The sequence below is a fragment of the Homo sapiens genome, chromosome 16, assembly GCF_000001405.40.
Source record: "Homo sapiens chromosome 16, GRCh38.p14 Primary Assembly".
NCBI classification, from domain to species: domain Eukaryota; kingdom Metazoa; phylum Chordata; class Mammalia; order Primates; family Hominidae; genus Homo; species Homo sapiens.
In genome coordinates, this window is record NC_000016.10 from 20,619,233 (window position 1) to 20,633,800 (window position 14,568).

Sequence of the window (14,568 nt, forward strand, 5' to 3'; positions counted from 1 at the left end):
CTGGGGGAGAAAATGAATACGAAATGTAATTCAGACCAACTGACATACCAAGACTCACTTTTGTGCAAACAAAACATCTCTAAAAAGCAGCCTCTGAGCTCTGCAGCACTTTCATCTTCAGCCTCACAGTGGAGGTGAGTGCGGCCTGGGCTCCTGGGAAGGACACACTGTTTCTGAGTAGCCTCTGTCTGAAAGGGACCAGGAGCTCTGGGCACAATGGTTAAAGATGTGGATCAAATGCACGAGAAGGACAAAGGCCATCTTTTCATTGACCAGGAAAACAACCCCCATCTTGGGCACTCTTGTCACATCTGACAACTATCTGGATGCAGCTTATCAGTAGTGGGCTCCTACCTAGATTAGGTCCAAAGGGGCAAGGAAAGCTTAGGTTCTGACAGTCGACGGCCATGAGCAAGGGTGAAGGTGGAAAATGCAATGAGGAAAACTTATCCAAGTCTTCAAAGGTGAGGTAGGGAAAGAGAGTTTAACTGATCTATGAAAATGCAGCCAGGTAAGGAGAAAAAAATTCCAACAAAGATTATCAAGACATTTCCTTCTTCATAACCTCAAAAGAAACAACAAATTCTTCTTTGGTTGGAGGTACTCATGCGAGGTGATTCTGCCTTGATGCAGTGGTTGCTCCCCATCACTAGACTTTTCCAGATCCCTCTCTAAGAATCTGGTGCATGCCGGTCAGAACAAATACTCTCATCTCTATAAGGTGCCCTCTCCTGAGGGTAGTGGTGAGGCTTATAATGTGAGGGTGGAAACTTTCAAAGTAAAAACCTGTCATTTCTTTATGTTTGGACACTCATAGGACTTTAAGACTCTTTCTGCTTTGGGTAAATCAATGATCTACACAAGACACATTTTACAAAACAAAGGTCAGTAGAGTTCTCATTCACATCCTGGTCATGTCACTCCTAGTGACTCCCGCATTGCAAACATCCCAGCAGGATGCAACCCTTTCCTCTCCCATCTGATTGGCTTCTCAGGCTACCTTCACACCGATTGGACATAGACTCCCTGGAGGCAGCTCCCAAGAGGAGAACACATGGATGACTCCAAAGTTTCTAAACAAATCATCAAACCAGATGACACAAAACTCAAATGACATTTCACTTTTTTGTTTTGTTTTGTTTGAGACAAGGTCTCACTCTGTCACCCAGGCTGGAGTGCAGTGGCACAATCTTGGCTCACTGCAGCCTCCACCTCCTGGGTCCAAGCGATCTGCCCACCTCAGCCTGGGACTACAGGCATGCCCCACCAGGCTAGACCAACTTTTTTTTTTTTTAATCTTTCATAGAGACGGGGTTTTGCTATGATGCTTAGGCTGGTCTTGAACTCCTGGACACAAGCGATCTGCCCACCTCGGCCCCCACAGTGTGTGAGGAGTACAGGCTGTGTAGTTTTATGCCGCCTGACACTACCCAACAAAAAGGAAGAAACCCCATGGGTCCAGCATCTACTTACATGGGTGGGTTGATGGCTAGAAAACCCCTGCAGGAGGAGCCAAAACAGCAGCCACCACGCAGGTATGTCCTGGTCCTCTCAGGGCACCCTGAGGTGGCCAGGACAGAGGTGGGAGTGGCTTAGGACTGGGGGAAGGAAGGGGATAGGGATGGGGGTGGGATTGCAGTTGAGGAGGGAGGGGGAGGGCAGGGAAAAGGAGGGAAGGGAAGGGAGGGCTGTTGGGCACCCAGAGCAGGAGGAAGACAAGGGGCTCTGGGAAAGGATCTGGTTCAAACTAAGTCCTCAAGCACCGGTGGGAGATTCAGCTACAGGTTAGAGAGAAAGGCGATCAGCTATCAGTGAAGCAGCAGGACACTTGGGGCAGGGGAGTGGGAGGCTCAGGAGCAGGACTCTGGTTTCCGCCAAACCTTCTCCTGTCTGGAAGCTGCCTTAGCAAATCCTGAGGCTTTATACTCCCTCTTCACAAATCCCCAGCCCGGTACTTGGTGCCTCACAGTGGACAATCCACAAGAAGCTCGTGTTCTTCCAAGGTCCCCTCCCCCCACCTGAACCCCCACCCCCAACCCAAGGACAAGTCCTCTCTGGAACCTTCGCAGACCTTCTGATTTCTGGGTGCCAGCCCACTCTGGCCCAGGGTAGGGTCCTGGGGGGCACACCTCTCTTTCTCTCTTGACTTCTAGATCTGCTAAGCGCCATGCAACACCGCCCTGTCTAAACATACCCACACAGGGTCCCAGGCTCAACCCTGTGCCCCTGTCCCCACAGTCACCAACCCTGGCCTCTCTGGCATCTCAGGGCCCAGGAACAGCCCTTCTGAAGGCCCTGGAAGGGGCACACACCCAGCCCTGGGTTTGGAACCTGGAACATATCCCCTTCCAAGAGAGCTCAGGAGGGCCAGGTCATGCCTGGGTCTGTTCTCTCCACTGCCTTAGGAGTGCCCTGTGGAGTGCCATCGCCGTGTGGTTGTCCTGTGGGCTGGGGTCTGGGACTGTGTGCATGTCTGGATGTGTTAATCTGCACGTATGCACCTGTGCGTCTGAGTATCTGTGAGTATGTCACCGTGTAGCTGTCTCTGGATAGCTCTGTTTTTCTCTATCTTTGTATGCATTTGTGTGTCTTTCTTCCTGAATGAGTGTGTGTTTGTTGTACAAATATGTGTGTTTGTGACTGTGTAATGTGTCTCTGGGCATGTATGCCCCTGTGAGAGTGTCTGTGTATGCCTGTGTTCTGTATCTGTGTGTGTTGTTTGGTGTGTGTGTGTATGTGTGTGTTGTGTGTGTGTGAATTCGCCTCTCCTTTGGGCATCCCTGATTGTGTCTCTATTTGTTTATGTTTCTCTTAATGTCTGTGTTCTCTGTCTGTTTCCCTGCCTGTAGGTCTGTGACTGTGTGTGTGTGTGTGTGTGTGTGCATGCACGAGTGTCCATTGTGTGTGGGGTCTGCCCTGTGGGGCTGTGTCTCATGGCCTTGTGTATCTGTGGTCTCCTGGTGGGTGTGTGTGTGTGTGTGTGTGTGTGTGTGTGTGTGTGTGTAAGCCTGTCTGTGGGCCAAACTGCTGAGTGCCCAGGTGAAGCTGGGGCGGTTCTGTGCCTTTGTGTCTCTGTGCTTGTGGTGTCTATTTATTTACCTGTGAGTTCCTGGGTTTGTACACCTAAGAAATTGGCAGTCACAGAGGGCCCTCTGTGGGTGAGAAGGGGACAATATGTGCTCCTCTCATTCCCAGGCTAGGCCCTTTCTGCCCCTGCTCTTCTGAGCCTCTGTTGGCCCCCTGGTAGTTCCCTCTTAGGCCCCAAGGAGGGATGGAGAAAAGGGTCAGGTTACAGAATTCCAGGCCAAGGATGTGAGGAGGGCTCCAGATGCCTGGACAGGGTTACATTCAAAGAAGGAAAATTGTCTGTGGTCAAGGAATTCTGGACTACAGGGACCCTAGGCCCTGGGAGGGTGAATGAGTGGGGTCCTCTGGCAAGGGCTGGGGGACAGAGTTCCTGGGTCACTTGGAAGATCTGATATGTAGGGTCCTACAGGGGAAAGCTGGAGGCAGGGCTCCTAGGCCCATGGCAGGGCTGCAGGAGTCCTGGGTCCCTAGAGGTTGGGGCTCTCACTCACACACACCATAGGTTGGGATGCATGTGCACATGGGCATTATTGGGGGACACAAAGGCAGAAGCCCATTGGGCGGAAGATCATTGAGTGGAAGACCACTGGGTGGAAGCCCATTGGGTGGGGTGGCAGAGGTGGTCTGGCAGGCAAATGTAGTCCCCAAACCAAGGCTGACCACCCTGGACATCCGTCCTGCCCTGGCCTTGCTGGGGCCTCATCCAGACCATGGGCAGGTGCCTGGAGCCACATGGGGCATCCCTCCTGTACCCCTGTGTCCTGGCTATTGAAGGGTGCTTAGGTAACCCTGAGATGCTGGTGCCAGGAGGGAGAATCTGGTCCCAAGTTATCTCAGGTTAGAGATTAGGGAGAATTACAGAGGGAGGGCATTTAACATAGGTTAATTCCCTGAATAAATGCTCAACACAGGGTATTGTTGATATCAGTATTTTATTACTTGCGTTATGAGTGCTCACCTGGGAAATTCTAAAGATACAGAGGACTTGGAGGAAGCAGAGCAACTGAATTTAATTTAAAAGAAGGAAAACATTGGAATCATGGCACTCCTGATACTTTCCCAAATCAACACTCTCAATGCCCCACCCTCGTCCTCACCATAGTGGGGAGACTAAAGTGGCCAGGGATTTGCCTTAGGTGTGCAGTGCGTTCTGAGTTCACTGCCGATTACATCTGACCAGTCTCCTTTTTCCGAAGTTCCTTCCGTTCAATCTTGCCAGTGATGGTTTTTGGCAGCTCTGAGACAAACTCCACCTGGTTGAGGATAAAGCAAATCCACAGTGATTGAGTCCTGCTGCCATTTCCTAACAATTCTCCACTCTCCTCCTCTGCCCCTCCACAGTCTCCCATGCAGGCTGACACCATATGGTGGCCTTAATGGAGTCCCCAAGTATTTCAGGTTCTCCCCCTGGCCCCTAGAAGGTGGATGTACCCATGGGATTTGCTTTGACCCAGGAGATGTGAGTGGAAGTGAAGCATGTAACCTTGAGGCAAAAGAGTTGGGAGCCATTGAGACTGACCACCCTCTCCTTCATCTCTTAGAGCAGCTGACAGGTCCCATATGGAGGCTGCTCCTTTATTCTGGTGGCAGAATGAGGAGATGTGGAGGGCAGGGCCAAGGAGAGCCATGGAGGACATGAGGCATGAGCAGAAAAAGAGCCTTCAGTGTTGTAAACCTCCATTGTTTGGGGCTGTTTGTTACCTCCAGTGATACCTAGCCCGTCCTAGCAGGGAACGCTTCAGGGCCACCAGATCCCTTCCATCTGCCCTCACTCACCTTCCTTGGGTACTTGTATGGGGCTGTCACTGACTTGACATGCTGCTGCAGTTCCTTGGTCAGCTGATCCTTGTCATGGGACAGGAACTGTGGGGTCAGGACAATAAAGGCCTTCACCACCTGCAGAATGAAGTCATGGGCTCACAGTGAGTGCCAACCTACTCCATAGCTTAAAAAGTCAATGTTTATTGAATGAGTGGTAAAACAAGGTGACACTGAACCCTACAGTGTTTTGGAAAAGGAGAGGACCAGGTGTAAATCCCTGTGTTTCCAATTCCCACTCCATGCCTTGAAAAGTTATTTGACCTCTCCTTAACCTCAGTTTTCTTTTCTGTGAAATGGGGACAATAAAGCTTCCATTCTTCATTTGGTTTCTTTAAAGCTTCCATGAGATAATACATATAAAACATCCAGCTAGTTTACTTTTATTATTACTCCCGTCATCAATATTTTCATCATCATTTTTACTGTTATTATATATGTAATTCAGTGCCAGAAACCCAATGGGCATTCCATAATTACTGGCAATTTATTATTTTTAGATTAGCAATGTTATCCAAGTTTTATTGCACAAGGTCTCACATATAGAAGGTGATTAATAAAGACTTTTTTTTTTCAGATGGAGTTTCATTCTTGTCGCCCAGACTGGCGTGCAGTGGTGTGATCTTGGCTCACTGCAACCTCAGCCTCCCAGGTTCAAGCGATTCTCCTGCCTCAGCCTCTCAAGTAGCTGGGACTACAGGCGCCCACCCCCCATTCCACCCACCTGCCCCCACCACACCTGGCTAATTTTTTTTGTATTTTTAGTAGAGGTGGGGTTTCACCATGTTGGCCAGCCTGGTCTTGAACTCCTGACCTCAGGTGATCGGTCCACCTCAGCCTCCCAAAACATTGGAATTACAGGCATGAGCCACCGTGCCCGGCCTAATAACACTTTTCAATATACAAATGCATGTATGTTCGGGAGCCACATTGCTGAGATGCCATTCTGCCTCCACCCCTTACTCTAGCTGGGTGATGTGGAGAGGTTACTTAACCTCCTCCTGCTTCTCTTTCCTCATCTATAAAAAGCATAAGTGTTCTTAGATTACTACATTGTGTGAGAGTTAAGTGATTTGGCATATATAAGTGCTCATTACATAGTATCTAGCATCCTTTTATTCAGAGCCACAGAGAGTCCACACTGTCCCCTGGTGCCATACCGTGTAAACGCACATGCACACTATGCCCTTCCACCAAGGCTGCACAGGTAAAGCCTGGATGTTTCCCCTGCACCTGCTTTCCTAGTGCCCACGCACAGACATGATGATCTCTGTGTTCTCCTCACCTCCCCTCGAATCGGGTCTGGGCTGCCCACCACGGCTGACTCCGCCACCGCTGGGTGCTCCACCAAAGCGCTTTCAACCTCTGCAGGCCCGATGCGATACCTGGAGGATGAAGGGTTCTGAGGCAGATGCCAGGGCTGGGGTGAACCAAGTCCCCAGATCTCCTGCTTTGGAGTCACAGCTTCCTTTGGCACAGAGGGTGGAGGTCATAGGAAGCCAGGGACCCCTGACTTGTCTGTGTCATGGGCCCAAAGTGTAAAGACCTGGACATTATAGGCTGAGAAATACAAGACTGCGGTGCTCCCGGCTTCTTGCCTCACTGCCTGTACTGATGGAGGACGGCTAATGTTTTGTCTCCTCAGAGCTTGGCCCAAGCAGCTTCCCCCAACACGAAATCTCTTGGAAGCCTCAAACTTGGTCTTAAACATTCATGCAAATTCTGCATACTATTTCCCATTGTATCAGCAGGATTTTCGGCTTTTATTATATATACTTAAGGCTTACAACATGATGTTTTGATGTACATATACATAGTAACGCGATTAAAACACTCAAGCACACTAGCATATCCATCGTCTCACATAATTGCCTTTTTTTTCTTTTGTGGTAAGAACATAAAATCTACTCTTTGTGCAAATTTCCAGTACATCATGTTTTAGAAATTTAAAATAAAATCCCATCCAGGCTGGGCATGGTGGCTCACACCTGTAATTTTAGCACTGTGGGAGGCTGAAACAGGGGGATCAATGGAGGTCAGGAGTTCAAGACCAGGCTGGCCAAGATGGTGAAACCCCATCTCTACTAAAAGTATAAAAATTAGCTGGACATGCTCACTTGAAGCCAGGAAGCAGAGCTTGCAGTGAACCAAGATCAGGCCACTGCACTCCAGCCTGGGTGACAGTGGGAGACTCTGTCTCAGAAAAATAAAATAAAATAAAATAAAATAAAAAATAAAATAAAAAAATAAAAATGCCATCAATTTCTCTAAAATATCCAAGGGAAATTGTTACTGTAGTGTAATGCGCCTTTTTAAAAATCATGTAGGGGTAGGGACAGGGACTCAGAGCCAGACTACCTCAGTTCAAATCTGGATTGCATCCTGTGCTATCTTTGAATCTTTAGGCAAATTTCCTTGCCGGTCAGTGACCCACTTTCCTCGTTAGTAAAATAGGGATAATAATCACATCTCCCATCCAGCTTTGAGAGGTGGGTTATATAAAGCATTAAGGACAGTGTTTTCACATAGTAAGTACTCCAGGTTAGCTAAATAGTTACAGTAAATAATATATTTATACTAATAAATAATTTTATAATAATAGATTTATTATGCTCATAGATGTATAACAAATATATTCATAATAATAAAAATAAACAATAGCTAAAGGTTAGCTATTATTATTACTATGTTTGTCCTGTGACATTTGGTGCTGCATTAGAGGGGCACAAACATGAAATAGGCTCCCTGAACCTATGGAGACCAAGACAGAGTCTCCCTTCTCAATTCCACTCCCCCCACCCCACTGTAAATTGCACAGTGTCTTATTATGGCTCCTCTTCCAGACCCTCTTGAATTTCATTTTGCTTGATTCTTCTGCGTGCAGAGAAGGTTCGGGAGGTATACTGAAGCCTGGAATCAGGGCACCATAGACACGGCTCTATTCAGATTTAGGCTGAAATTTCACCAATGCGTGAAAAAATGTCTAGGTAAGCAAAATTCCGTGAGGCATGTGACGGCAACAACAGCCAGCCCAGCATCAGCCACACCTACCCAGAGGCATTAATGATGTCATCACTCCTCCCCAGGAAACAAATGTAGCCCTCTTCATCCATCTTACCTCTGTCCCCAGTGTTGTAGAAGTCCCCACATTCCACTTTAGCTGTCTTCTCTGGGTCACCCTGCAAAAAGAAGAGAGCTCCTTTGTTGAAGGCAGTGAATTTAGAGGTGATGAGCCACAACCTTGGGTTCCAATCTGGGTTTGAATTCTGCCTCTGTTTCTACTCGGTACCTGGGCAAGTTTTGCCATTTCTGAGTCTATTTTCATTACATGTAGCGCATGATGCATGCGACTGCTCTATGAGTGGTTGTGATTAAACCAATTTCAATGACAATGTTTAAAAATATCAATTCTGCCACGTGCGGTGGCTCACGCCTGTAATCCCAACACTTTGGGAGGCTGAGGTGGGTGGATCATGAGGTCAGGAGTTCAAGGCCAGCCTGCCCAACATAGTGAAACCCCATCTCTACTAAAAATACAAAAATTAGCTGGGCATGGTGGTGCATGCCTGTAATCCCAGCTACTGGGGAGGCTGAGGCAGGAGAATCGCTTGAACCTGGGAGGTGGAGGTTGCAGTGAGCCAAGATCGCGCCACTGCAATCCAGCTTGGGCAACAGAGTGAGACTTCATCTCTCTCTCTCTCTCTCTCTCTCTCTCTCTCTCTGTATGTATACATATATATATATATATATATATATATATATATATATATATATATATATATATATTCATTTTGTGTGACACTACACTAGAATGAAATTTCCATTATGGTGTGAACCTTGCTTACTGCTATAAGCTCAGCATTCACATAGAGCCTGGACAGATGAGAGGGGTCAATAAACATTTGCTGAGGGAATTTTCTTCCCTAAATACTATCTCATTTCATCCTCACAGAAAGCCTATGAGTCTAGTATGTTTTTAAGTTAACTTTTCATTTTAAGACAAATGTGGATGGCATGTAGTTATAAAAAATAATGTGGATCGATGCCCTGTACTCTTCACTAGTTTTCCACAGTGGTACCATCTTGCAAAACCATATGATCAGTATCTTAGGCAGAATACTGACCTTGATACAATCCACCAGTCTTCAGATGTCCCATTTCACTTGTGTGTCTGTGTATTTAGTTGTATGCAGTTTTATCACATATGTAGGTTTGTGCATTCCCCACCTCATCAGGAAGATCTCTGATGGTGCTCTTTTATAACCACACCCACCTCCCTCTCATTTCCTCTTCCTCTCCTCTCACCTTCCCTGACCCCTTGCTAACAACTAATTTGTTCTCTATTTTTATAATTTTGCTGTTTCAAGAATGTTATATAAATAGAATCATACAGCATATAACTGTTTGGGACTGTTTTTTTTTTTCTCAGCATAATCCCCCAGAGATTCATCCAAGTTGCATGCACAAACGGTTTGATCCTTTTTGTTGCTGAACAGTATTCCATGTTATGGATGTAGCTGAGTTTTTGTTTAACCATTTACCTGTTGAAAGCCATCTGGATTGTTGTCTTCAGGTTTTGACTATTTAGAGTAAAGCTGCTATGTACATTTGCATACATGTTTTTGTGTGAAGTTGGCACTTTTTTTGTCGCCCATTTTAAATAAGAAAAAAACCTAAGCTTGAGGGAGGCACATTTGCTTGCTCAGAGTCACTCAGCTGCTCACTGAGAGGGTTGATATTTGAATTTAATTCTTGCTTCATGACCGATTCACTTGACCCCTAAGCAATAGCTCTTGTGGAACATGAAATGGTTTTAAGAGCTACCCGAAAAAAACATTTTAAAAACATCAAATTACATCCCTTTTTGGATTCACTTCTGATTGTTCTGAGTATATCAAGTTGATTCTTAGTTTAGTGCTGATATGCTTTGAACTCTCTGGAAGTCTCAAGAGGAAGACATGCTTCAGGATCAGAGCTTCCAATGAGAATAGGATTTAGGGAGACTATGAGAAAATTGTTTTTTTTAAGCCTATAGTTATGGTTATAAATGCCTTCTGTTTATGGCAAGTAATACTGTTTTCCACTCATGATATTAGATCAATGTGAGTGCCTTTATGGACTGAGTTGAGAGGTACAAGATGACATCAACAACATAAATGGAAGATGGAACCATACAGGAGTACAGTTTTTTTTTATACAATTGAAGTTAAGTAGGTATTAATTCAAATTAGATTGTTACAACCTTAGGATGTTGTATGTAATATAGTAATCATAAAGAAAATATCTGTAGAATATAAACAAAAGAAAATCAGAAGGGAAAAAATGTGTCACTACAAAAAGGAAACTAAACGTAAAAGAAGGCAGTTATAAAGGAAATGAGGGCCAGAAAATATTAAGCCACACAGAAGACAAATAGCAAAATGGTAGAAGTCCTTCCTTATCAGTAATTACTTTAAATGTAGGTGGAGTAAGCTTTCCAATCCAAAGGAAGGAATTGGCTAAGTGGATAATAAAACACGATCCAAATATACACTATCTACAAGAGATTCATTTTAGATTTAAAGACACGAATTCCACTGGGCGTGGTGGCTCACAACTGTAATCCCAGCATTTTTGGAGGCTGAGGCGGGTGGATCATGAGGTCAGGAGATGGAGACCATCCTGGCCAACATGGTGAAACCCCGTCTCTGCTAAAAATACAAAAATTAGCTGGGTGTGGTGGTGTGTGCCTGTAATCCCAGCTACTGGGGAGGCTGAGGCAAGAGAATCACTTGAACCAGGAAGTCAGATATTGCAGTGAGCTGAAATCGCACCACTGCACTGCAGCCTGGAAACAGAGGGAGACTCCAACTCAAAAAAAAAAAAAAAAAGACACAAATATGTTGAAAGTTAAAGGATGGATAAAAATATATTCCCTGTGAATTGTAACCAAAAGAGAGCTTGGGTTGTGGGTTGTTATACTAATATCCGACAGAAAAAACTTGTTTTTTTTTTTTTTTGAGTCAGAGTTTCGCTCTTGTTGCCCAGGCTGGAGTGCAATGGCACGATCTCAGCTCACCACAACCTCCGCCTCCAGTAGCTGGGATTACAGGCGCATACCACCGTGCCCGGCTAATCTTTTTTATTTTTAGTAGAGATGGGGTTTCTCCATGTTTATCAGGCTGGTCTCAAACTCCTGACCTCAAGTGATCCACCTGCCTCGGCCTCCCAAACTGCTGGGATTACAGGCGTGAGCCACGATGCCCGGTCAAAATAAAGTTTAAGTTAAAAATAATTGCAAAAGATAAAAAATGATATTGTCTATTAATAGAAGGGTCAATTCACCAAGAAGATATAATAATCATAAACATATAAGCAATAAACCTCAGAGCCCCAAAATACATGAAGCAAACATTGTCAGAATTTAAGGAAGAACTGTACAGTTCTACAGCAATAGTTGGAGAATTTAATATACCACTTTCAATAACGAGTAGAAAAACCAGAGAGAAGATCAATAAGAAAATGGAGGACTCGAACACCACCACAAATTAACTGGATCTAGCAGACATATACAGGAAACTCCATCCAACGGCAGAAGAACACACATTTTTCTCAAGTGCACATGGAACATTCTCAAGGATGGACCATATATTAGGCCAGAAGAGAAGTATTAATTAACTTTAAAAGACAGAAATTATACAAAGCATCTTATCAAGTCACATGAAAGGAATTAACAGAAGGAAAACTTTTAAAAAATCACAAATTTTCCCAATCTTTGCAAAATTAAACAACATACTCTTAACTAACCAATGAATCAAAGAAGAAGTCACGAGGAAATTTAGAAATTATCTTGAGACAAATGAAATAAAAAACACAGCATATTAAAACTTATAGATTGCAGCAAACACAGTGCTAAAAAGGTAATTTACACACATACTGTCTTAGCCCATTCAGGCTGCTGTAACAAAATGCCATAAACTGGGTGGGTTATAAACAATAGATATTATCTCTTAGAGCTCTGGAGACTGGGAATGCAAGATCAAGTCACCAACAAATTTGGTGTCTGGTGAGGCTTCATAGATGGCTGTCTTCTTGATGGGGCCTCACATGGAGAATGGGACTCTTCTGGAGAACCCTACTGGAGTTGCTTTTTAAAGGGCACTAATATCACTAATCATCAAGGAAATGCAAATTAAAACCACAATGAGATATTACCTTACTCCTGCAAAAATTGTCATTGTTAAAAAAATCAGAAAACAATAGATTTTGGCATGGTTGTGGGAACACTTTTACACTGCTGGTGGGAATGTAAATTAGTACAGCTGCTATGGAAAACAGTATAGAGATTCCTTCAAGAACTAAAAGTAGAACTACCATTCGATCCAGCAATCCCACTACTGCGTATCTACCCAAATAAAAAGAAGTCATTATATGAAAAAGACATATGCACATGCGTGTTTATAGCACAATTTGCAATTGCAAAGATATGGAACCAACCAAAGTGCCCATCAACCAATGAGTGGATACAGAAAATGTGGTATATATACACCATGGGATGCTATTAAGCCATAAAAAGCTGTGAAATCATGTCTTTCGTGGCAACTTGGAAGGAGCTGGAGGCCATTATTCTAAGTGAAGTAACTCAGAAATGGAAAACCAAATAGCGTATGTTCTCACTTCTAAGTGGGAGCTAAGCTATGAAGGCACAAAGGCAAAGAATGATATAATGGACTTTGGGGACTAGAGGGCAAAGTTGGCAGGGGGTAAGGGTTAAAAGACCACACTGTTCAGGTGATGGATGCACTAAAATTTCAGAAATCACCACTAAAGAACTTATCCATGTAGCCAACAACCACCTGTACCCCCAAAACTACTAAAATAAAAAAATTAAAAGGGCACTAACACCATTCATGAGGACCCCATGCTCACGATATAATCATCTCCAAATATTGCATTGGGGGTTAGGATTTCAACATATGAATCTGGGGGACACACAAACATTCAGTCTTTAGCACATACGTTAAAAAAGATCTCAAGCCGAAAACCTTACACTTTAGGGAACCAGAATAAGAAGAGCAAACTAAACCCAAGCATAGCAGAAGCAGGAAATAAAGATTAGAGTTCATATAAATAAAATGGCAAATAGAAAAACAACAAAGAAAACTTAATCAAAAGTTATTTCTTTTGAAGAGATGACAAGTCTTCAGCTAGATTGATTAATAAAAAAGTGAAAATTTAAATTACTAACATTTTACAGAAATGAAAAGAATTATAAGAGAATACTATGAACAATTGTATGCTAAAAGGTTTGATTACCTAGATAAAATGGAAAAACTACTGGAAACACACAATCTACCAAAAACAGGAGTCACAAAGAAATAGAACTCTGAATAGATCTGTAACTCATAAGGAGGTAAAATTAGTTATCAACACCTTCCAAAAGAGAAAAGGCCTAGGCCAGATGGCTTCACTGATGAGTTCTGACAAATATTTAAAGAAGAATTAAGACCAATCCTTTTCCAACTCTTTTTACAAAATTAAAGAAAAGGAAAAATTTTATAAGTCAATCTATGAGGCCAGCATTACCCTGACACCAAAGCCAGACAAACACTGCAAGAGAAGAAAACTACAGACCAATAACTCTTATGAATATTGATGCAAAAATCTCAGCAAAACACTAGCAAACCAAATCCAGAAACACTTTAAAAGAATTATACATCATGACCAAGTGGGATTTATTCCTGTTTCAACATACAAAAGTCAACAAATATAATAAACCACATTAATAGGATGAAAAGAAAATAACCACAAGGTTTTCTCTCAGTTGAGGCAGAGAAAGCACTTGACAAAACTCAATACCCTTTCATGGTAAAAACACTAAATAAACTAGGAAACTTCCTCAACATGATGAGGCCACATATAAAAAACCAACAGCTAATATTATTCTCAATGGTGAAAGTTGGAAAGATTTTCTCCTAAGACCAAAAACACAAGGATGCCTGCTTTCACCACTTCTATTCTACATAGTCCCGGAAGCTCTAGCCAAATCAATCAGGCAAGAAAGAAAAATAAGAGGCATCTGAATTGGAAAGATGAAGTAAAATTATCTCTGCATGCAGATGGCATGACCATATATAGAAAACCCGAAGAATTTTACACACTCAAAAAAAATGTTAAAGCTAATACATAAATTCAGTAAACTTGTAAAAAACAGAATCCATACACACACAAAAACTCAATTGCACTTCTGTGCACTAAAAATTAAAAATCCAAAGAGGAAATTAAGAAAGCAATTCTATTTACAATAGCATCAAAAAGAATACAAGACAGTAGTACTCATAATAAATTTAATCAGGGAGGCAAAAGACTTGTACACTGAAAACTACAAAACGTTACTACAGAAATTAAAGAAGAGATAAGTAAATGAAAAGACATATGATACTCATTTATTGGAGACTTAATATTAAGATGACAATACTGCCCAAAGCTATCTACAGAGGCAACACAATTCCTGTCAAAATCCCAATGGTTTTTTGTTGTTGTTGCAGAACTAGAAATACCTATCCTAAAATGCATATAGAATCTCAAAGGACCCCAAACTGCCAAAACAATCTTTAAAAAGGTGAATAAAGGCCAGGCGCGGTAGCTCACATCCATAATCCCAGCACTTTGGGAAGCCTAAGG

General features: G+C 43.3%; 1 protein-coding gene across 17 annotated transcripts in view; it reads right to left on the bottom strand.

The window, feature by feature from the left end:
• Window positions 1-4,002: 4,002 nt before the first annotated feature.
• Window positions 4,003-14,568, bottom strand: part of ACSM1 (acyl-CoA synthetase medium chain family member 1) — a 74,446-nt gene continuing 63,880 nt past the window's right edge. For 8 of the 17 annotated variants that reach the window (NM_001318890.3, XM_006721017.4, XM_006721016.4 and 5 more), the window contains 4 exons: window positions 7,957-8,084; window positions 6,191-6,290; window positions 4,864-4,983; window positions 4,003-4,340 (listed from right to left, as the gene is read on the bottom strand). In NM_001318890.3, coding sequence (NP_001305819.1) covers window positions 4,254-4,340; window positions 4,864-4,983; window positions 6,191-6,290; window positions 7,957-8,084 — 435 coding nt within the window. In that variant the 3' untranslated portion in view covers window positions 4,003-4,253. Of the gene's footprint in view, window positions 4,341-4,863; window positions 4,984-6,190; window positions 6,291-7,490; window positions 7,859-7,956; window positions 8,085-14,568 lie in introns of those variants that run through there. The other 9 variants (XR_007064850.1, XM_047433583.1, XM_047433581.1 and 6 more) reach the window with 5 other exon arrangements.